The sequence below is a fragment of the Homo sapiens genome, chromosome 7 (genome assembly GCF_000001405.40).
Source record: "Homo sapiens chromosome 7, GRCh38.p14 Primary Assembly".
NCBI lineage: Eukaryota > Metazoa > Chordata > Mammalia > Primates > Hominidae > Homo > Homo sapiens.
Window position 1 is genome coordinate 57,082,975 of NC_000007.14, and position 25,724 is coordinate 57,108,698.

General features: G+C 39.7%; 1 pseudogene; it reads left to right on the forward strand.

Annotated features, from left to right (window-relative positions):
• Positions 1–8,519: 8,519 nt before the first annotated feature.
• Positions 8,520–8,917, forward strand: LOC107986740 (gem-associated protein 7-like; annotated as a pseudogene).
• The last annotated feature ends 16,807 nt before the right edge of the window (positions 8,918–25,724 follow it).

Consider the following 25,724-nt stretch of genomic DNA (forward strand, 5'->3'; position numbering starts at 1 on the left):
ACAGTTTATTTCCCATAAGCAAAGTCACCTTACTCAAATCACTGTGACTGTATGACATTGCTATGGGAGCTCTAAAAACAAACCATTGTGTAATGAGTGAGCAGTCCTTTTACTTGGTAGCAGAGGAAAATACAGCACCTGAGAAATATGAAAATAGTTTGGTAATACTATTCTTCCCTGGAAATTTTTCCTAAGAAGTACCCTGAAGGTGTAAATTAAGTGTATTCCCAATTTTTCTGTGCTTCCGTAAGTATCACATACCCTTAATCTATCTCTCTTTTTTTTCAAAAGTACCAATAATTGTGAGAAAGTAGTTGTGTAACTTTGAAAAAGTCTAGGGGCAAAGGTTATAGTAGTCCATTAGAGCTTAAAATTTCCTTGAAATCTCTTATCTCAGTTCCATCAATAAATTCGTCTTGTGACCTTGGGCAAACCATAACTTCTGTGTGTCAGCGCCCTTATCTATGAAATGCAGATAACAGCAGTACCTACAACAACACAGAGTGGTTGTGAGGAATAAGTGATCTCATTAGAATCATACCTTGGCACAGTGGACACTTCAATATCAATAATAGGTAGTTGCAGTGGAATATATTTTATTACTATTCATGTTTTCTCACAGAAAAAGAAAGGACCCTAGTGTAACTACTAAGAATAAGGATCAAAGGTGAAGTAGCCTTAAGAAGGGAATAAACATTTGAAACAGGGATGCAGGGGGATGGAGTAGAAGAGTAAGTTTGGCAATTTATTGACACTAAAGGGTACTGGCCTCAAAATAAATAAAAAGGAATGTTGAAAGCAGTGAGGCTCTGCCTGAGTTTGGACATTAATATTAATTTCTACTCACATTTAGTAGATAATATTTACTTCCATAGCAAAATGTCAGATGGCCTATAATTACAAGACAAAATACAGCAGCCTTGTTCTAATAACCTCAAAGTGACTTATTACTACAATTGATCCTTGCTCATTGGCCTTACTAAAGGGAAGGAAGTAGTGTCATTAATGCAAAAGAATAGAGAACTATAATCAGTCCTATCAAATCAAACTCTACTTAAACACGAAATCTGTGGAAACAACCCAAATCCAGTGTACTTCTGCATTATTAAGAAAACATTTAAGAATAATAGAGTTCAGAATAATATATATACTGGCTTAAGAAAAAACTACTCAAGATAAAAAGACTATCTGTAACATTTCATATTTCTTCAAACTAATATTTTAATAAACACAATATTTTTTAATGTTCCAAATTAATGTCTATTTTACATTTATTTTGACTTTGAAATGCACTATACATGTTTTGCAACAATGTCGTTATCATTCCCTCATTTTACTGCAGCTTAAGAGTAAATAACTGGATTAAAAATTTCTTTGTTCTTGTTAAAACAAAATATAATATTTACAATTTAAGGTGTTACTCTATGAAAATAATGAAACAAGAGTAACTAGAGTCAGTAATACAACACTGTACATTAACCTAATAAGCAGGTTAAAATAACCCATGTCTTTCTTATCTTTGAGGTCTCACTGATGAAAGCCATATATTCCGTCACTACTCATGAATGTTAAATTTCAAGCCTAACAATAAAACATTCATCAAATATTTGTTCATAAGGTTTTGAAGAAAGTCACAATAATATCTGTTTATAATAGCTAATGTCAGGTTTCTTCAGGTCTTTGGGATTGGGTTCCTACAGTATTTATAATAAAAGGATCTGAGAAGTCCTGCTTTAAAGATAATTGCTTATCTTTGCTTTACTCAGCATCTCAACTTTGTATCCATTTCTTATTAATCTCTAGATTTTCTGAGACTAAAAGTAGTAGTATCTGACACTTTATAAGTGATCATTAAATTTTTATCAAATAAATGAATGAGGAATGCAAAGATAAGATGTAGTCTTTGCCCTTAAAAAGTTTAGTATGGTAGAAGAAGTAAGATATGCAAACAAACAACGAACAAATAAACAAGGCAGAATTTTATCAAGACCATGAATGAAATACCCCAAAGAGAAAGAATTTCAGGAAACCGAGAAATCACACCAGCCTGGAAAGGAGGTCACATTTCAATGAGGCTTTGAAAGATGGAGTATCATTTCAATAAGCATTTCAACTTTCTGGGATATCTGCAGATACAAGGGGCCACTTTTACCATTTTGTAGCAATTGTATAGAAAAGAAAGCAAAGGATTTTTAGAAACAGAATCTTTAAGTCCTTTCAGAATGTTTTACCATGTTAGAGTTGAGGCAAGAGGAAAGCCTCAGAGGAGCTGGTGATAACATTGTGGAGCTTTTCTATCTTGTTCCTCTAACTCCTTCCTTCGTTTTTCTCCTGGGTTTTGAAATCAATTTTGTTCAAATTCAAATCCTAGTTCAATCACATACAAGTATGTGACCTTGATCAAGATACTTACTCTATTAATTAAATGCACTGGGCTTGACATTTTAAAAAGCACCTCAAATGAAACCTATTATTAAGAGATGAGACAGTAACAAACTACAGTTCTTAACTAAAATACATATTAGTGTCATCCCAGGAGCTGTTTCAAAATAGATGAATATTCCATCCTTGACCCAAAGCCCAGAATATCTAGGCAAGTGTTTCCAGGACTACTTTGAAGAAGCTTCCCAAAATGATTTGAAAGGTAGATGAAATTAAGAAATTCTTATGTTCATGTTGTCCTCTCCATAAAAAGAAAATTAAGAAATTCTAGTAAATAAAGGATGACATAGGGCAATATGCCAGATTACATCAACATTTAAAGGTGGCCCATAGGAAAGGATCCTAATAAAGCAGCTTCAACACAACCAGGTAAATCAGGAGGCAACAGCACAAAAAGTGAGGAAGAGTTTCAAGGAAAAATGGTCAATAATGCCAAATAAGTTAAAGAAAAATACAATCAGAATGCCTTTTACTGACCTTTAATAAAAGTAGTTTTGCATTAAGGGGAGAAGCCAAATGGTGAGAAATTAAGTGCTGGATGGGAAATTTAAAAGTAGAAGTTTATTTTTTCTTTATATCTGGCTGTAAAATGAAGAAAAGATATCACACCAAAATGTTTTGCCAAGGGAGGGCGCTATTCTTTGTTTTACTTTTTCATAAGCTTAATCTGGTGAAGATTTAATCTGTGAAGAACAATCCAGATCAGGCGTCCCCAACCCCCAGTCCGTGGCCTGTTAGGAACCGGGCCACACAGTAGGAGGTGAGTGGTGGTGAGCTTTACTGCTGGAGCTCCGCCTCCTGTCAGATTAGCAGCAGCATCAGATTCTCAAAGGAATGCAAACCCTATTGTGCACTGCGCATGTGAGGGATCTAGGTTGCGTCCTCCTTATAAGAATCTAATGCCTCATGATCAGTTTCATCCTGAAACCATCCATCACCCATCCCCTGCCCCCCCACACACACCCACACACACCCTGGCAGAAAAATTGTCTTCCATAAAACCAGTCCCTGGTGCCAAAAAACTGGGAGCCGCTGGTCTGGACTACATTAGATACCAATCATTTTCAAGGCATCCCATACATATATTGATCTGGAATTTGCTATAAGACAATTTCATCTCCTCAAAATCTATTAGTATATCCTTTAACATACACACTGATATACATGCTAACACTAAAAGGCAAGCTAAATAGGCTCTATATAACCTGGCCCTGCAATTATCTTAAAAGAAGTTTACTTATTCTAATTACTGTAATTGCACCAGTACTAAGAACTAAGTAACAATTCTGCTCTGTAGCTGGTAGCAAACATTCCAACCAGCTACTCAATAACTACCTCATTTGCCAATTCAAACAGCTTTCACTTGCTACATGTCGGAGGCTGGGAGGCACTAAGAGGTATGTTATGATCTTTCTTGCTATACTCAGAAATAAAAGCATACTTTATACAACCCAGTTCAAGTGGACAGCTTCATTTTTAAATCATCATGTTACCAGAGAAATCCTTGCAGCCTACTCAGAACATTTTCTTCATGATTTAGAAAATGATTATCCCAATTTTGTAGTAAAAGGTATTGCCTGACCTAGGTTAGGGTCTGCAGCGTTTCATAAGATATATACCAAGTTTCTGTAAGTTCTTTTGCTAAACTGAAAAGAGTTCAAATTGACAGTTTAGATACTGTCTCTGAGCTGTCCCTCAATGTTCCTCGAAATTCTTCCCATTACCTGAAATTCTAATTGATCATTCAATACACATTCCCCCTTAAAAATCAAGTATTTTTGTGAATACTGTTAGTCTTTCAGATCCTGGAATAAGACTTTCCCTCTAATTTCTATTTTGGGCCAGCATTAATTAAGAAAGAAAGAGTTTTAATATGGAAGAAAATAGGGCTAGTTTTGAATTACATGAATCAGAAAAAGTAGATTTTGCAGAAACATAGCAAAGGGCTCTCTAAAAGTAGAGGGCAACTTACAGCTGGCCATAGGGCACGCTAGAGCGTAAGTAAAGGAGAAATATCAGGAAAAGAGATATTATTTTACCTGGATATCTAATGGATAGAAGAGGGGAAGCAAGGTGTTGATTTATTCTTGATCAGGTAGCATGTTCTATAGAGTGGTTCTAAGATCAGTGTCAAAGATCAGAGGGTTGTAGATATGCAGCATTATTTCTGAGGGCTCTGTTCTGTTCCATTGGTCTATATCTCTGTTTTGGTACCAGTACCATGCTGTTTTGTTTACTGTAGCCTTGTAGTATAGTTTGAAGTCAGGTAGCATCTCACTGATATTTCTTTAAAAATAAATGAGTACTGCACTCATTTATTTTTAAGTTACAACATTCACAAGAAATATAACAATGAAACTGTCATTAGTGTTGTGACTATACTTAATAAAAAGCTAGGCAAAAAAAGTTTTGAAAAGAAGACTTCTGACACTAAAAAAGTTGCAAGTACAAAATTTCAGAATAAAGAACAGTACTTTTTTTAAAATTTCAAATAAGTAATCAAAGGCACATAAATTAAAATGTAATATCTTGGTCTAATACTGAATTAGTAAATACCAAATTTGACATTTAAAAGAGATTTCTGAGCAGCTGCGGACCTTGCCAAGACAATGCAAGTTCTAAGAAGTGGCTTTCAAAGCAGAAGTGGGTAGGTTTTAACTGTTTGAATTAGATAACCTATAGATTCTTTTAAGTTCTTACTTTCTATAAATCTCATATACCAAAATATATCCCCTAAGGACCAGGGGTGAACTATATGAATCATGCCAGTGATTATGTGAATTATATCTCACTGATATTTCTTTTTTTATTATTATTATACTTTAAGTTTTAGGGTACATGTGCACAACGTGCAGGTTAGTTACATATGTATACATGTGCCATGTTGGTGTGCTGCACCCATTAACTCGTCATTAACATTAGGTATATCTCCTAATGCTATCCCTCCCCCGACCCCACGACAGGCCCCGGTGTGTGATGTTCCCCTTCCTGTGTCCATGTGTTCTCATTGTTCAATTCCCACCTATGAGTGAGAATATGCGGTGTTTGGTTTTTTGTCCTTGTGATAATTTGCTGAGAATGATGGTTTCAAGCTTCATCCATGTCCCTACAAAGGGCATGAACTCATCATTTTTTATGGCTGCATAGTATTCCATGGTGTATATGTGTCACATTTTCTTAATCCAGTCTATCATTGTTGGACATTTGGCTTGGTTCCAAGTCTTTGTTATTGTGAATAGTGCTGCAATAAACATACGTGTGTATGTGTCTTTATAGCAGCATGATTTATAATCCTTTGGGTATATACCCAGTAATGGGATGGCGGCGTCAAATGGTATTTCTAGTTCTAGATCCCTGAGGAATCGTCACACTGACTTCCACAATGGTTGAACTAGTTTACAGTCCCACCAACAGTGGAAAAGTGTGCCTATTTCTCCACATCCTCTCCAGCACCTGTTGTTTCCTGACTTTTTAATGACTGCCATTCTAACTGGTGTGAGGTGGTATCTCATTGTGGTTTTGATTTGCATTTCTCTGATGGCCAGTGATGACGAACATTTTTTCATGTGTCTGTTGGCTGCATAAATATCTTCTTTTCAGAAGTGTCTGTTCATATCCTTCACCCACTTGTTGATGGTGTTGTATGGTTTTTTCTTGTAAATTTGTTTGAGTTCATTGTAGATTCTGGATATTAGCCCTTTGTCAGATGAGTAGATTGCAAAAATTTTCTCCCATTCTGTAGGTTGCCTGTTCACTCTGATGGTAGTTTCTTTTGCTGTGCAGAAGCTCTTTTTTTTTTCCTTATTTGAACCAGATTTATTTAATAATCACAATCTAATTTTAGATAGTTTCTGTTTTCCAGAAAATGCAAGCTAGAGATCATTAGAGCAATTAGTACAAGATAAACTTTAGAATATTGCATTTGGCCAGACCAGATGTAAAATCATTAGGGAATAAACATAACCATGCTTCATAGAAACCCACTATTCAGACATTAGATGAGTTTTAGATCTGATGACATAATGACAGGCCTCATTTAAAAAGACTAATAACTTAGTGAAAACCATGTGTATTTCTACAATACTATTTGCATTTTACTAATTTAATCTCACGCATTCACTGAGGGTACTGACATTTTAGCCAGTGTGAGCATGAGAAGCAGGTGACTCATGTATGATCTAAATGCACCACATCAAGATGACTAGTTGAGTTGTATTCAGAAGGGCTGAAATAATGTGTTATTATCCAAAACACCATAGTTATATAAAAACAGGCAGCATAGCAGATACCTGAAAAAATGTTTTTTTTGGATGAATAAGGGAAACAGCATGGTACTGGTACCAAAACAGAGATATAGATCAATGGAACAGAACAGAGCCCTCAGAAATAACGCCGCATACCTACAACTATCTGATCTTTGACAAACCTGAGAAAAACAAGCAATGGGGAAAGGATTCCCTATTTAATAAATGGTGCTGGGAAAACTGGCTAGCCATATGTAGAAAGCTGAAACTGGATCCCTTCCTTACACCTTATACAAAAATCAATTCAAGATGGATTAAAGATTTAAACGTTAGACCTAAAACCATAAAAACCCTAGAAGAAAACCTAGGCATTACCATTCAGGACATAGGCATGTGCAAGGACTTCATGTCCAAAACACCAAAAGCAATGGCAACCAAAGCCAAAATTGACAAATGGGATCTAATTAAACTAAAGAGCTTCTGCACAGCAAAAGAAACTACCATCAGAGTGAACAGGCAACCTACAACATGGGAGAAAATTTTTGCAACCTACTCATCTGACAAAGGGCTAATATCCAGAATCTACAATGAACTCAAACAAATTTACAAGAAAAAAACAAACAACCCCATCAAAAAGTGGGCGAGGGACATGAACAGACACTTCTCAAAAGAAGACATTTATGCAGCCAAAAAACACATGAAAAAATGCTCATCATCACTGGCCATCAGAGAAATGCAAATCAAAACCACTATGAGATATCATCTCACACCAGTTAGAATGGCAATCATTAAAAAGTCAGGAAACAACAGGTGCTGGAGAGGATGTGGAGAAACAGGAACACTTTTCCACTGTTGGTGGGACTGTAAACTAGTTCAACCATTGTGGAAGTCAGTGTGGTGATTCCTCAGGGATCTAGAACTAGAAATACCATTTGACCCAGCCATCCCATTACTGGGTATATACCCAAATGACTATAAATCATGCTGCTATAAAGACACATGCACACGTGTGTTTATTGTGGCATTATTCACAATAGCAAAGACTTGGAAGAAGCTCTTTAGTTTAATTAGATCCCATTTGTCAATTTTGGCTTTTGTTGCCATTGCTTTTGGTGTTTTAGACATGAAGTCCTTGCACATGCCTATGTCCTGAATGGTATTGCCTAGGTTTTCTTCTAGGGTTTTTATGGTTTTAGGTCTAACATTTAAGTCTTTAATCCATCTTGAATTAATTTTTGTATAAGGTTTAAGGAAGGGATCCAGTTTCAGCTTTCTACCTATGGCTAGCCAGTTTTCCCAGCACCATTTATTAAATAGGGAATCCTTTCCCCATTTCTTGTTTTTATCAGGTTTGTCAAAGATCAGAGGGTTGTAGATATGCAGCATTACTTCTGAGGGCTCTGTTCTGTTCCATTGGTCTATATCTCTGTTTTGGTACCAGTACCATGCTGTTTTGTTTACTGTAGCCTTGTAGTATAGTTTGAAGTCAGGTAGCATCTCACTGATATTTCTTTAAAAATAAATGAGTACTGCACTCATTTATTTTTAAGTTACAACATTCACAAGAAATATAACAATGAAACTGTCATTAGTGTTGTGACTATACTTAATAAAAAGCTAGGCAAAAAAAGTTTTGAAAAGAAGACTTCTGACACTAAAAAAGTTGCAAGTACAAAATTTCAGAATAAAGAACAGTACTTTTTTTAAAATTTCAAATAAGTAATCAAAGGCACATAAATTAAAATGTAATATCTTGGTCTAATACTGAATTAGTAAATACCAAATTTGACATTTAAAAGAGATTTCCGAGCAGCTGCAGACCTCGCCAAGACAATGCAGACTCCACTGACTATTCCTGTGCCCATGCTCCAGTTACCCTGGGGCCCTGATGGCCTCAGCCTTGGCTTTGCCCCGATGGATGCTGGGGCAGTTGAAGCCAGAGGTTCCTGAAATCCAAGAGTGTCCCATACTCAAGAATCGCAGGAATCCCAGGAGCAGTGGGCTCGAGCTGCCCTTCGGGAACGTTACCTCCACAGCATGCTGGCCATGGAGTATCAACAAGTGAGCTTCATTCACATTGTACAACTATGTGCACATGGCTGCCCATTTCAGAACCACCAATCTGGACATGGCCAGCTTCTACGTGTCACAGCTCAGCTGCAGATTCCCATAGGTGAGTAGAGGTGCTGCTCTAATGTAGTGACATAATTTCATACACCTTCAAGCCATAAAGATCTGTGTTCATCTTTCAGCTTGGGTCTAAGCCACAGTATCCCAGGCCTCCCAATTTTCCTGAGCCAGGAAATCTGGGCCTCATGGAGTTACAGGCCCCCTTGGAATTCTGAGCCAAGCTCCAATCAACTCTGGACTCCTGAGACCTCCTGGGTCTAGTCAGTAAAATTCTGCAACTCAAGGAATTCTAGGTCCCATTGGAAGGAATGATTTACCTCAAAGAACTCTGAACTCTCCAGACGTATAGGCCTGATGCCATTTCCTAAAGTCTGAGGCTTGGGGGTGGGGTAATACAGGTGGGCAAATTACAGAGTGGGAAGTTATTTATTGAAGAGGTTTCAAAGTTCAGCCACCCTGAAGATACTCCCCAGTGCTTCTCTCCTCCTAAAGAACCAACTTCTCCAGGAAAATAAAAGAGATTTCCACTCAATACTGGCAAGGATGAGATACATATGGGCATTCACACACTATAGAAACTGTATTAGTTGGTATGACATTTTCAGTTAACATCCTTTACCATGCCATCTACTTCTAGGAATGAAACACACAGAGAAAAATACTGCAGTACTATTTTAACAATAAAGAAGTGTGTGTGTGGTGGCAGGGGGAGACTTTCCAGGTGCAACAATGGGAGGTAGGCTAAGCTTATGATGATACACCTATAAAAATATTATTCAGCCGTTGAAAATTAGTTTTTAAAGTTCTGACACACAGAAATGCTTGCCATAGCATTAGATGAAGAAAGTATACAAAATGAATATGCTATTACAACTATGCCTAAGATGCAGAAAATATAACAAAATTTAACAATGGTGATGTCCTCTTAAAATGCCATATACTCCTTCATATTCCTTTTTTTTTTTTTTTTTTTTTTTTTTGAGATGGAGTCTCGCTGTCGCCCAGTCTGGAGTGCAGTGGCGCGCTCTTGGCTTACTGCAGGCTCTGCCCCCGGGGTTCACGCCATTCTGCTGCCTCAGCCTCCCGAGTAGCTGGGACTACAGGCGCCCGCCACCTCGCCTGACTAATTTTTTGTATTTTTGGTAGAGATGGGGTTTCACCGTGTTAGCCAGGATAGTCTCGATCTCCTGACCTCGTGATCCGCCCGCCTCAGCCTCCCAAAGTGCTGGGATTACAGGCATGAACCACCGTGCCCGGCCTCATATTACTTTTCTAATCAAAAAACATTTTGTAACAAGTCCTAGTTTTTATAGGAAGAAAATTTCAAGCCATATATCTGAATATCTGTTACATCAAAAAACAGGAGTTATCTAAATATCCAACTACATTTCAAACAAATATATAATTCATGTTGATTCAACAAGAAAGGCAAACATCCACATATAAAAAATCAGGCTCAAAATTTCAAACTAAAACTTTTTTTAAAGTTTATTAACTTTTAATAAAAGCAATCCCTAAGATTCTTTCTATCACTGATATTAAATACCTGACACAGTCAAGGGAAAGCAATATACTCAAAAGGTTTGCAAGGAGTAGCATTAATATTCAGCAACTACAAAGCAAGTGCACCCTTCAGACTAAATAGTCATGTGACATAAAAAACTTGAGCACAATATTTACCTGCACAGAATTTAAGAACCCAAGCTACACATCTAAACCATGTTTTAAAAAGGAAAAGAATAAGTTATCAACCATCTTTTAAATCTGACTCTCAGCAGAAAAGAGCTTTGCCCAGCAATCTGTACTGAATTACAAAGAGCACACATTTGCCCCAAATCTTTGTAACCAAAAGAGTTCAACCAAAACAGAAGTCCAAAGTAAGGATTAATGAAATATTTAGCTTATTAATTGTACATCATTGACTACCATCCCTGCTTTCCCTTTTCTGCATTCCTCTTTTTGGATCTTAAAACTAAGTCATGAAAATGCACAAATAAAAATATGTTTAAAATTAACATTTATACAATTTACAGATTTACTAGGTATTTTACATATGTAATATATATACTAAGTACATTCATATACACAATTATCTCAAGCCCTCTGTGAGGCAGGGGTAGTCACTCATAGTGCACAGCATTCCTGTGTAAGTATCTCCACTCTACCACCTTCCCATACCCACAGGTTCTTAGGGAACCCTACCACAGCTCTTATTTATTTATTTATTTATTTATTTATTTATTTATGAGACGGAGTCTCTCTCTGTCGCCCAGGCTGGAGTGCAGCGGCGGATCTCTGCTCAATGCAAGCTCCGCCTGTCGGGTTCACGCCATTCTCCTGCCTCAACCTCTCGAGTAGCTGGGACTACAGGTGCCCGCCACGACGCCCGGCAAATTTTTTTGTAATTTTAGTAGAGACGGGGTTTCACTGTGTTAGCCAGGATAGTCTCCATCTCCTGACCTCGTGATCTGCCTGCCTCGGCCTCCCAAAGTGTTTTATTTTTATTTTTAATATTTTTTTAGAAATGGGGTTTCACTCTGTTGCCAAGGCTCATCTCGAACTCCTAGGCTCAAGTAATCCTCCTACCTGGGCCTTCCAAAGTGCTGGAATTACATACATGAATGAGCCTGGCCTTCTTTTACTTTTTTGTAATCAAAGTGCAGTGTTTGGCTTAGAAAAGACTAGGTAAGGCTCGGAGCGATGGCTCATGCTTGTAATCCCAGCCAAGGTGGGCGGATCACTTGAAGTCAGGAGTTCAAGATCAGCCTGGCCAACATGGCGAAACCCTGTCTCTACTATAAATACAGAAATTAGCCTGTTGTGGTGGTGCACGCCTGTAGTCCCAGCTACTTGAGAGGCTGAGGCAGGAGAATCGCTTGAACCTAGGGGGGCGGAGGTTGCAGTGAGCCGAGATCATGCCATTGCCCTCTAGCCTGGGCAACAAACCGAGACTCCATCTCAAAAAAAAAAAAAAAAGGCTAGGTAAATATTTGTTGAGAAAAGGAAAGAGATTCGGCCAGGCTCGGTGGCTCATGCCTGTAATCCCAGCACTTTGGGAGGGCGAGGTGGGCGGATCACGAGGTCAGGAGAAGGAGACTATCCTGGCTAACACGGTGAAACCCCATCTGTACTAAAAATACAAAAAAAAAAAAAAAAATTAGGCGGGCGTAGTGGCGGGCGCCTATAGTCCCAGCTACTTGGGAGGCGGAGGCAAGAGAATGCCCTGAACCTGGGAGGCGGAGCTTGCAGTGAGCGGAGATCACGCCACTGCACTCCAGCCTGGGCGACACAGACAGACTCCATCTCCAAAAAAGAAAAAAAAAGAAAAGGAAAGTGAGATTCAAAGTGATCTGTCCAGGGTCATATAGCTTGTTTGTGATAGAAATTGAAGTTTTAAACTAGACTAAGTATGATATTCTTTTCAGTGTGACAGCTGCGGCACTGAGTATTATACAGTAGATATAAAGTTAGTTTAAATACAGAAGGCTTATTTTCATGGTGTGACAAAAACATAAGTCAAAAACATGAATAAAATAAGTTCTTTTACAAAATTGCCAAAATAAACTGTAAATTCCAAATTTATACACAATAGTGAGTTACTTGTTTCAAGATTCTAATCAATCCTATCAGACTAATAAAGTTAGCACATAAATCCAAATAAAAACTCCTGACTATTTACATGGCACTTTAAATGTACATTACTACAGCATTTATGCAATTAAACATAATTAGCAGTGTGCATTTTCCTGGAAATTCCTTTGAGGGTAGAAGTAATCATTTTCATTTTCATGTCATCTGCTTGATCAGTAATTCTTAGCACTTACACTGCTGATGTACATAAAGTTAATTACTAATCATTCAGTTAAAATTTATCCTCTGAACCAGGACAAGCATGCTATGGAAGAGCTCATCCTTTATGTTATTGTTGTAATTATTTCCATCTGTAACATAATAAACAATTTATAGCATTCTATCATTAAAAACTTGAGTTAGTTAAGAATGAACTACAAATCTTCACATTTGATTCTTTGATATGCACAATTAGCTCGTATTTATCATCTGCTTACTTAAAGAATTCTGGGCAGTGCAAGAAACAGAAGCCCCAAAGTCTAAAACTTTCTTCCTTCTAAATATCAGCCTATTTGTTTCAACTGTTAGTAAGTTTGGGGGACATCCTACTTAGTTTATCAAAATATATATAAATATTATCAATGAAAACTCTGTAACACTTGTACGCATAGGCAGATAATTTTAATTTCCAAGCTAAGTTTTTTCAGAGCTTTTTATCTCCATTACTTTTTTCTATGGCAGTCCAAAATTACAATTTTACTAATGTTTCTACATTTTTAGGCATCAAAAATCTATTCTATTCACATATCAATTAATTCTATGGTACAGTTAAATATTGTGTTTTAAACACTTCAAAATTACTTCGGCTCTTTCTTTTCCACATTTCTTCCTAAAAATTCAGTCCAAAAGTCATTACGTGAGACTGAGAAAGGTAGGTGTCCATGCTGGAGAGAAAACCACAGTGGCCCAGAACAGGGTATTACAGCCTGCAGAATGAGGAAACGTTTCTAATAGGGCGTGAGAAGAATGGACTAGCATGAGATGTCTGAGTTAAAAAGGATGAGGGGGCATCCATATGAGAAGAATGGCCTGGCATGAGACATCACAGCACAAGAGAGGTAAGCAGGGCCACTGCCTCCCCCTTAATTACACTAATCCCCCTGCAATTAACTAATCCATCACCTCCCTCAGGTTCTTCCCTGATATTTTTCAGAGAAGAAAGGGAAGAACCTAAAGGAGGTGATGGATTAATTACTCGAGAATTGATCAAATAGGTACACATATGGAGGATAATGGTATCTCACCATCAGAAAGACAATACAAATATGGGAGGGATGAAAATTAGGGCCCCTCTAATGATGGACTGAAATTGGAGATTGAAGTGTACACTTATATTTTTCAACACACACACACACACACACACACACACAAAACATATATATAAATGTGTGTGTCTGTGTGTGTATAACATACATTTGTTACTTTCTGATATTGATGGTATATTATGGCTATATAGGAGAATATCCTTAAAGAAGAGAAATATACTAAGGTATTTAGAGGGACAAAAGAGAAGCATCCATCTCAAATATCTTTAAAAAGGTTATATACTGTACTTGTAACTTTTGTTTAGAATTGTTTCAAAATTTAAAATTAATACATTATTTTCAGCACAGTAATCACTATAAATGATGATGCACACTTTTAATTATATAAAGTACTTTGTACCTACAATTTTCAATATTTTAGGTAGATAACCTCTTTGAGATTCTAAATATGTAATCTGTCTCCAGAATATAAAGACATGATAAAAATCTCAATTATATTTCAGAAAGTTTGGCAAGTCAGTGAACCCATTCAACATCCCCCTTCCCTGCTAAAAATTTGACCCACAGACTTCAGAACCCTAGCCACTGCTTTAAATTCTCACTCCTATATAATAAAATAGACCAAAAAAACCCCCCCAAGACCTAGATACAAATACATAAAAATTATTACTTAAAATGTGGGTGTTTTTTTTTTTTCTTCACAAAGTTTGGGCCGGGCACGGTGGCTCACGCCTGTAATCCCAGCCCACTTTGGGAGGCCGAAGCAGGTGGATCACCTGAGGTCAGGAGTTCGAGAGCAGCCTGGCCAAGGTGGTGAAACCCTGTCTCTACTAAAAATACAAAAATTAGCCGGGCGTGGTGGTGGGCGCCTGTAGTCCCAGCTACTTGGGAGGCTGAGGCAGGAGAATTGCTTGAACCTGGGAGGTGGAGGTTGCAGTGAGCTGAGATCATGCCATTGCACTCCAACCTGGGTGACAAGAGTGAGACTCCATCTCAAAAAAAAAAAGAAAAAAAGTTTGAGTAAAATTATCAAGGTTGACAAATTTACCACTACAAAGGTCTTTCATGGGAGACAGGTTATACCTTCCCAATATTTAAAATAATTCTAAGGTTCCGTAGCTCAATAGTGAAACAAATAACGATATCCTGGCATAAAACCATCTTTCAGACAAAATCCACCTGCTGTGTATTAAAAAATGTAATAATTGAAAACTTCCTGCCTTGGGAGAGAATAAACCTGATTCGTAATACAAAAACCACTCAATCTACAAATGCGTTGAACAGAAAGATGGACTAAATATAAAGAGGGAACTTCTGACCTCCTTTGGTGCTAGACTGCCTGTAGTCATAGCTAGGCAGGAGGTGATATTATTATCTCATATTTAAAATTATATTTCAGGCATATGTGATACAGTCACCTAAGAAAAAGATGGACCCACTTGACCCACAGTAGTATTTGGCCTCCATGCCCTAGGCTAGGAAAGATTTAGAAATTACCGATTGTGGATAAAGAAAGAGCAGTCTTCCTTGCCAAGATGAAAACTACATAATAAATGAGTCTCCTATGTGAGAATTACATTTCCACCTGTAAAGAAGTTGCATTAACATGTATTCCCTTGATGTCCTTGTCTTCCATTCAGTGCTCAGTTCTTTTAAAATTTAATGTTGACAGACTATGTGGCCTTCACATTTCTGTCCCAACATCTAGCTAATTAAAATTAACTAATATGATATCATTTTTACTTCAGTACACCTATCCAATCAATCTTGAGTATATTCAAAACCAAGAGAAAAATTTCTGTAGGTCTGGCAAGCATGACTACCCTTACCTCTCTGGGTAAGGTGGCTCACATCTGTAATCCTAGCACTTTGGGAGGCCGAGGCAGGTAGATTGTTTCAGCTCAGGATACCCAGACCAGCCTGTGCAATAAAGTGAGACCGTGTCTCTAAAAAAAATACAAAAATTAGCTGGGTATGGTGGCACCTATAGTCCCAGCCACTCTAGAAATAGCTACTGTAGAAAATATTTGCAAATTATATATCTGATAAGGTATATCTGATAAGGCTTTTTCTTTCCATTGCAAGGGTAATGGTGAGGTGGGAGGCTCTGGTGGGAGGATTGTTTGAGTGTGGGTGGCAGAGGTTGCTGTGAGCTGAGATCGTGCCACTGTGCTCCAGCCTAGGTGAAGAGCCAGGCCCTGTGCCCAAAAAAAAAAAAAAATTGTAACTCTATGCTTAACCTTTTCCATTAGCGGTTTCTACCAGCAAAATAAATCTCTTTTCCACCACGACCAAAGATTTTTCCACATCTTTGCCAACACTTGTTCTGGCTGTCTTTTTAAATTTCAGCCACTCTGGTAGGTGTGGCATGGTATCTCATTGTGGTTTTGATTTTCATGTCCCTGATGGCAAATGGTGCTGAGCATCGTTTCATGTGCTTATTGGCCGTATGTTTATCTGCCTTGGCAAAATGTTCATTCAGACCCTTTGCTAACTGTTTTACTTGGGTCATTTTTTAAATAAAATTATTAACTTGTAAGAGTTTAACAGATGTGTCTTATCAGAAATGTAATTTGCAAATATTTTCTCCCATTTTATGGGTTGCCTTTTTACTTTCATATGGTGTCCTGTGAAGGACACACACGTATGCTCGTGCTCTCTCTCTCTCTCAAAACTTTTGGACCAAAGAGGGAAGTATAACTGTGATTTATTAAGCAGCCCCATTGAGGGCTAACAGCACATTTCTGACCACTTTGTATGCTGGTGCCAGCCGGGGGTGCCCCAGCGGGTGCTCCCTGGGTTGTCTGCTTCAGGGCTGCTGCAAGGGTGCAGGGCAGGGCTCCTCCAGCTGGGAAACCATGGAATAGTTGGCAGCTGCTTTGTACGTCTTGAGAGACAAAAGAAAGCTCAAAATCAAGAGCAAACACTGGGTTTGCACTGAAAAGAAATATATCATTTCCTTGAAGAGAAAAATTCAAGATGTGAAAAATGGAAGCAAGAAAAGAAGAACTATGAAGAAAAGAGAGATTAGAATACCAACTGCTGTAGATCATTTCATGTCCCAATTATCTCCAAGTTCTTCCACCTTCTGGGATCACCAGCTGTTTTAACACCCAAAATATATGAAAGCTATGTGTTGTAATCTGTAGGGTAACCGTTAAAAGAACAGGATCTGTAACTTGGCAAGAGAGGAAAAAGCTAGGATGGTAAAAAAGTCTATCAATCCAAAAGGCAAGAAAAAAGAGAAAAAGAAACATGCTGGCATATTATTATAATTATTGTATTATTTGTTATTCCTGTTAATTTTTTACTGTGCCTAATTTATATATTAAACTTTATCGCAGCTATGTATGTATAGAGAAAAATACATCTGTGGTTTCAGGCATCCACTGAGGGTCTTGGAACATAATCCTTCCCCCAGATAAGGGGGTACTACTGTAATTATATTATATGTCATATTAAGCATATATTAATTCTACTAGGTAGCAGCCACATTATATATTAATTATATTAAATATATATCATACAGATTTATTTTAAGGAATTGACTCATAATAGAAGAGGCTAGCAGGCTGGAGATTCAGGAAAGAGTTGTAATTCAAGTCCAAAGGCAATCTGCCAGAGAATTCCCTCTTGCTTGGGGGAGGTCAGCTTTTTATTCTATTCAAATTTTTGATGAAAATAGAAAGCAAAGAGTATATTAACTATATTATACAAACTAAATGCTCCAATTAAAATACAAAAATTATAAAACCTAATAATAAAAAACCTAAATTATATACTGTTTAAAAGAGACATTTTTAAGCTTAAGGATATAGAAAATTTGAAAATAAAAGAATAGAATAAAATAAGCCATTAAAATACTAGTGTAACACTGATGTGGAAACCTGACAAAGCACACAAAAAAGAAAATAATTTTAACTGCAAAATTTTAAAATCCAAGCAAAGAGAAAGCAGCATATGTTATAATTATATCACAACATGATCAAGTAAGGCATACTTCAAAAATATAACAAAAAAATTTAAACATGGCCCATTATTAGGAAACATACTAATAAAAATCCTCACAAAAAAATAATTCAAAATCTAAAAAGCCACATGATAAGCCTGATGAATATTGGTTTACAGAACTGATTTTCTAGAAAACAGGTTTATAAAACTGGTTTTCTTTAAAAAGGCAATCTTGGGGAAATAACCCATTTACTCAATTTTTTTTTTTTTGAGATGGAGTTTTGCTCTTGTCGCCCAGACTGGAGTGCAATGGCACGATCTCGGCTCACTGCAACCTTTGCTTCCCAGGTTCAACAGAGTCTCCTACCTCAGCCTCCCGAGTAGCTGGGATTACAGGCACCTACCACCATCACGCCTAGCTAAATTTTTTGTATTTTTCGTAGAAATGGTGTTTCACTATGTTGGCCAGGCTGGTCTCGAACTCCTGACCTCATGATCTGCCCAACTCAGCCTCCCAAAGTGCTGGGATTACAGGTGTGAGCCACCTTTGGGAAGATATCCAGTAGTGAGATTGCTGTTTGAACGGCAGTTCTGTTTTTATTTCTTTGAGAAATCTCCATAATGTTTTCTGCAAGGGTTGTAATAATTTACATTCCCACCAACAGTGTATAAGCATTCCCTTTTCTCTGCATCCTCATCAATATCTTTGGTTTTCTGACTTTTAATTTTATATTTATTTTTTATTTTTATAGATATGCGGGTCTGATGTTGCCTAGGCGGGTCTCAAACTCCTGACCTCAAGTGATCTGCCCACCTCGGCCTCCCAAAGTGCAGAATTATAGGTGCAAATCACCACACCTGACTGTTTTCTGACTTTTTACTAATAGCATGTGCTGGGTGCGGTGGCTCACACCTGTAATCCCTGCACTTTGGGAGGCAGAGGCAGGTGGATCACTTGAGGTCAGGAGTTTGAGACCAGCCTGGCCAACATGGTGAAACTCCGTCTCTACTAAAAGTACAAAATTTAGCTGGGTGTGGTAGCAGGCGCCTGTAATCCCAGCTACTCAGGAGGCTGAGGCAGAAGAATCACTTGAACCCAGGAGGCAGAAGTTGCAATGAGTCGACATTGCACCACTACACTCCAGCCTGCATGACAGAGCAAGACTCCCTAATAATAATAATAATAATAATAGCACATGCTGTTCTGCAGCATGACCTTAACATTGCTCCCATGGTGAGGTCGGGTCTGTGCTCCCTCCCCTTGAATTCAAGAAGGTCTGTGACTGGCAGAAGTGATTCAAGGTAGGTCATGAAAGGGGACACCATTTCTCCGTGGTCCTCCTGGGATGCTTGCTCTTTGAACCCAGCCACCATGCTGTGAGGAAGCCCAGATGACAGGGAGAGGCCACATTTTGATGTTCCAATCAACAGTCCCAGCACAGGTTTCAGATGACAGCCAACATCAGTTTCCACACATGGGACTGAAGAAGGCTTTGCGAAGACTCCAGCCCAGCCACTACGACAGCATGAGAGACCCCTACTGACAATCACCTACCTGAACCCATCAACTCCCAGAACCATGAAAAAAAAAACTTTTTTTTTTTTTGAGAGGGAGTCTTTCTCTGTCCCCCAGGCTGGAGTGCAGTGGCGCAATCTGGGCTCACTGCAAGCTCCACCTCCCAGGTTCTTGCCATTCTCCTGCCTCAGCCTCCTGAGTAGCTGGGACTACAGGAGCCGACCACTACCCAGCTAAATTTGTAGTTCTAGTAGAGACAGGGTTTCACCGTGTTAGCCAGGATGGTTTCGATCTGACCTCGTGATCTGCCCGCCTCGCCCTCCCAAAGTGCTGGGATTACAGGCGTGAGCCACCGTGCCTGGCCTTTTTTTTTTTAAAAAAAAAAAATGAGTTTCACTCTTGTTGTCCAGGTTGGGGTGCAATGGTGTGATCTCGGCTCATGGCAATCTCTGCCTCCAAGGTTCAAGTGATTCTCCTGCCTCAGCCTCCTGAGTAGCTGCAATTACAGGCGTCTGCCACCATGCCCGGCTAATTTTGTATTTTTAATAGAGACAGGATGTCTTCATGTTGGTCAGGCTGGTTTCGAACTCCCGACCTCAGGTGATCCACCTGCCTCGGCCTCCCAAAGTGCTGAGATTACAGGTGTGAGCCACTGTGCCCAGCAAGGTTGCTATTTTAAGCACCTAAAGTTTTGGGGTTATATATTATGCAGTAAGAGTAACTTAAACATCCTCCTTTCCTTCTAGCTTTTTGAATCTCTTACTCATCAAACCTAGTCTCTCTCTGAAGACCTGGTCTGCTTTAATCAATGTTTTCCCCATAGACCCAGCGAGAGGTAGGTGGAGTTATCTTCCTACTCTTCATGGCTGCTCAGAACCCATCTCCCGGGTTCTCGCCATTCTCCTGCCTCAGCCTCCTGAGTAGCTGGGACTACAGGCGCACACCACTATGCCTGGCTAATATTTTGTATTTTTAGTAGAGATTGGGTTTTGCCATGTTGGCCAGGCTGGTCTCGAACTCCTGATCTTGAGTGATCTGCCCCCCTCAGCCTTCCAATGTGCTGGGATTACAGGCGTGAGCCACTGTGCCCTGTTAGTTTTCAAAATTTTCTTTACTTCCCTCTGTGGTGGGAGAACTGGCTTCAGAGAAAGCCATCCTGGACAGGTGAGGTGGCCCCACCAGGAACAGGTTTCAATCAGGTGTTTTGGAGGCAGTGATGCCCATGCACCCTGGTGAGAAGGGGCATGGCATGAACATCAGGAACCAGACTTCACCCTGGAGAAGGAGAGGCCACAGGTGGGGCTGAAGGAGCAGTTCTCACAAGTGATCCTGTGGGCACTGGGGCCACACCACACACCTTGGTGCACAAGTGTCAATGTGGCTCAGAGTGGGGTGGAGGACTCAGGGTATTAAAAGCATCAAGGAATCCAGGGGAGAGCCACCGCACCCAACTTTACTTTCACCCACAGGCTGATGCAGCCCGAGGAAATGTTACTCCACAACGACCTCAATGATACACACGGAACCTGTTTGCCAGGCCCTTGCCACAAAATGGGGGCTGCCAAGCCTTGTTAGAATACCTGAGACTCAGAGGAAAATAATTTTTCTTGAGACAAGTTCTTGCTCTGTCACCCAGGCTGGAGTGTAGTGGTATGATCATAGCTCACTGCAGCCTCTACCTCCCAGGCTCAAGCCATCCTCCTACCACAGTGCCCCAAGTAGCCAGAACCACAGGTGTACACCACTATGCCCAGCTAAGAAAATAATTTAAACATTTAATTAGTTTGTTTATTTATTATTAGTTTTTTTTTTTTTTTTTTTTTTTTTTTTTTTTTTACACAGAGTCCCTCTCTGTCATCCAGGCTGGAGTGCAGTGGCACAATCTTAGCTCACAGCAACTTCTGTCTCCTGGGTTCAAGCGATTCTCCTGCCTCAGCCTCCCGAGTAGCTGGGATTACAGGCGTGTGCCACAACACCCAGATCATTTCTGTAGTTTTAGTAGAGACAGAGTTTCACCATGTTGGCCAGGTTGATCTCGAACTCCTGACCTCAGGTAATCCTCCTGCCTTGTCCTCTCAAATTGCTAGGATTATAGGCATGAGCCACTGCACTCAGCCTAATTTAAACATTTTAAAATCTTGTTTAAATTTTGAAATAAAATCTCAAGTTGGTTTTTAAAAAACTCTGTCCGGGTTGTGATGACTCACATTTGTAACTTCAGCACTTTGGGAGGCTGAGGTGGGAGGATCGCCCGGGAGTTCAAGACAGCCTGGGCAACATAGGGATACCCAGTATCTCTAAAAATAATAATAATAATACAAAAATTAGCCAGGTGTAGTGGCAGGTGTCTGTGATCCCAGCTACTTTGGAGGCTGAGGCAGAAGGATTGCTTGAGCCTGGAAGGTCAAGGTTGCAGTGAGCTGAGATTGCACAACTGCACTCCAGTCCAGGCAACAGAGTGAGACCCTGACTCAAAAAAAAAAAAAATAGTGCTTAGTGCCACATGCCAGGAAACACAATGACAACAAATCAGAAGGTTGTTGAGTCAGGGCCTACCAAGAGCTGGTGGGGAGTCTGACTGTGGGGACCCTGCCCTTTTCCAAAAGGTGGAGGTGCAGAGAAGCTCATAAGGATCACGGCTTCTCACCCTGGCCCTGAATCCACTCACATCAGCGGCTCTCTGCACAGCCAACCGGACAGCTCACACCAATAAATTAAACCTTCTTATTTCTTGCTGGGCACAGTGGCTCACACCTGTAATCCCAGCCCTTTGGAAGGCTGAAGTGAGAAGATTACTTGAGGCCAGAAGTTCAAGACCAGCCTAGGCAACATAGTGAGACCCTGCCTCTACAGAAAATTAGGTGAGAGTGGTGGCATGTGTCTGTGGTCTCAGTTACTCAGGAGGCTGAGGCAGGAGGATCTCTTGAGCTCAGGAGGCTGCAATGAACTATTGCATTACTGCACTCCAGCCTGGAGGACAAAGCAAGACCTTGTCTCATAAAAAAAAGAAGCAAGCCAGCAGGTCTAATCCAGACGTAAGAGGAGGGTATTGGCCAGGCACGGTGGCTCACGCCTGTGATCCCAGCACTTTGGGAGTCCGAGGTTGGAGGATCACGTGAGACCAGGAGTGCAAGACCAGCCTGGCCAAATGGTGAAACCCCATCTCTACTAAAAATACAAAAATTAGCTGGGCATGGTGGCACACACCTGTAATCCCAGCTACTCGGGAGGCTGAGGTATAAGAATCGCTTGAACCTGGGAGACGGTGGTGGCAGTGAGCCGAGATCGCACCACTGTACTCCAGCCTGGGCAACAGAGCAAGACTCTATCTCAAAAAAAAATACAAAAATTAGCCAGACGTGGTGGCACATGTCTGTAATCCCAGCCAGATGGGAGGCTTAGGCAGGAGAATTGCTTGAACCCAGGAGGCGGAAGTTGCAGTGAGCCAAGATCACACTGCTGCACTCCAGCCTGTGTGACAGAGTGAGACTCTGTCTAAAAAAAATAAAATAAATTGAATTAAAAAGTTTTATTAATTTGCAATACTGAGTTTGCAAGAAGAGTGAACTGTGGTATGGTGACCAGCACACAGTATTTTAGAGTTCACAGCGTGCTCTCTGGGAAACTGTTTTAGCCAAAGTTGTGGCATCATCTCTGACCACTCACTTTATTCAAAAGACCTGGCTCAAAATGACTATTTATGGAAATCAACTCTAGCCTCGAAATACAAAACCAATGTAGTTCTAAAGGTATTCAAATGAAGGTAATTAAGTTTATTAAAAAGCAATGAAGGGCCAGGCACAATGTCTCAAGCCTGCAATCCCAGCACTTTGGGAGGCTGAGGCAGCAGAAGGATCAATTGAGGCCAGGAGTTTGAGACCAGCCTGGGCAACATAGTAAGACCCTGTCTCTACAAAATAATTTTATTTTATTATAATTTTTATTTTTGGTTTTTGTTTGTTTGTTTTGTTTTGTTTTGTTTTGTTGAGATGGAGTTTCACTCTTGTTGCCCAGGCTGGAGTGCAGTGGTGTGATCTTAGCTCACTGAAACCTCCACCTCCTGGGTTCAAGTGATTCTCCTGCCTCAGCCTGCAAAGCAGCTGGGATTATAGGCGTGCACCACCACACCTGGCTAATTTTTTGTATTTTTAGTAGAGCTGGGTTTCACCATGTTAGCCAGGCTGGTTTCGAACTCCTGATCTCAGGTGATCTGCCTGCCTCGGCCTCCCAAAGTACTGGGATTACAGGCATGAGCCACCGCCCCCAGCCCAAAATAATTTTTAAAATTAGCTGGACATGGTGGTATATGCCTGTTGTCCCAGCTACTCTAGAGGCTGGGATGGGAGGACTGCTTGAGGCCAGAAGTTTGAGGTTGCAATGAGACAGGATTGCACCACTGCTCCCCAGCATGAGTGACAGGGAGAGATTTTGTCTCTAAAATGGAAATAAAGGAAGCAAGGAAGGGCTTCTCCTCCAAACACTACCACTCCATCTTGGGCAGTTACATGATTCGAGGAAACATGGAAAATCTACCTTGAGTACCTTTTTGGATGTATGCTAATGGGAAAACAAATCTCATTAATTAACTCATAGAACGGCTAAGAGGAAAGAATCTTAGGGGATGTGTGGTTTCACTCCCTAATTTTAAACATGAGGAAATTTGGTACCAAAGAGATGAAGTAACTCAGCAGGTAGAGAGAGAAGAGCCTCTCTTACCACAAGGGGTCTCTCATTGGAAAATGGGCAAAACTCGTTCCCTGCCTGCATTCTCCAAGATCGTAGCCAACACAGAATAGAAGTGTCTCCCCTTCAGAGGACAACTGGTTTGTCCTTTGCCTTTTACACCCCTTTCAGCAAGCAGTATTTCTCAGCTTTGTGTTTGTGCAAACTCTTGAGTAGCACAAACTCCTGAGCTAAGAGACACTCCACTCTGTTTGCAATTGAGGGCAAAGGCTGGGATGCTTGGGCACAGCTCCAGGCTCCTTTCCCAGAAGTCTGGGGTGGCAGAAAAAAAAAGAATGTATTTTTCACACACTGAGTAGAGATGTGGCTCATCATGTAGAGGTAAATTGTTTTTTTCTTGAGATAGAGTTTTGCTCTTGTTGCCCAGGTGGGAGTGCAGTGGCACCATCTCAGTTCACTGAAACCTCCCCCTCCCGGGTTCAAGCTATTCTCCCACCTCAGCCTCTTGAGTAGCTGGGATTATAGGCACCTGCCATGACACCCAGCTAAATTTTGTATTTTTAGTAGAGAAGGGGTTTCACCATGTTGGCCAGGCTGGTCTCGAACTCCTGATCTCAGGTGATCCAGCCGCCTCAGCCTCCCAAAGTGCTGGGATTACAAGTGTGATCCACCGTGCTCGGCCTTAGAGTTGGTATTTTATAAAGAATAGAAGTTTACATAGCTCACAATTTTAGATTATGGAAGTCCAAGAGCACGCCATTGACATCTGATGAGAATCAGATTTCCACATCACAAAATGGCCAAAGGCATGAGGACGACAGAAGGTGAACATAAGAGAGCTTACTTTTATAATAGACCCAATTTCCTGCCAGCTAACCCACTCTGGAAACAATGACATTAATTCATTCATGAGAGTAGATCCCTCAAAACCTGATATCTTCTTAAAGGTCTAATTTATAATTTTATAACGATGACAGTTAAATTTCAGCATGAATTTTGAAGGGGGCATTCAAACCATAGCGATGCGTTTTTATTAGATAATTAAATTATTTGATATTTTAAAAATTATTGATTTGCCATGACTTTTAATGGCAAAAACTGCAATTACTTTTGCACCAACAAAATAATGTCTTTGGTTTTCTTTTCATGCTCTCTTTTCTTGTGTTTTCTAGGTTTTTTTTTTTTTTTGCTTTTGTTATTATATGCTTTGATTCCCATTTCTTTTCTTTCTTTTGTTTTCTTTTTTTTCTTTTTTTTTTTTTTTGAGATAGAGTTTCACTCTCATTTTCCAGGCTAGAGTGCAATGGCACCAACTCAACCTCCATCTCCCAAGTTCAAGCAATTCTCCTTCCTCAGCCTCCCGAATAGCTGGGATTACAGGCAATTGCCACCACATCTGACTAATTTTGTATTTTAGTAGAGACGGATTTTCTCCATGTTGGTCAGGCTGGTCTCGAACTCCCGGCCTCAGGTGATCTGTCCGTCTCCGCCTCCCAAAGTGCTGGGATTACAGGAATAAGCCACTGCGCCCGGCCGCTTGATTCCTTTTTTCTTTTGTGTGTATAGTACAAATTTTCATTTAGTTACCAAGAGATTTACATAACACATCTCATAGATATAACACTCTAGCTTACGATAATAACAATGCTATTTCGATGCATAGAAAGACTCAACAGGTTTACTCTCTTCAATACACGATTTATATCGCACTTTACATTTTTTATATTGTGTATCTCATAATAAATTATTTAAGCTATATGTATTTTGGATACTTTTGTCTTGTAGCTTTTATCCCTAAGTTAAAAGTAATTCATGCACCACCATTACAGGTGTCATTAGTATTTTATTCATTTTTCTCCACTT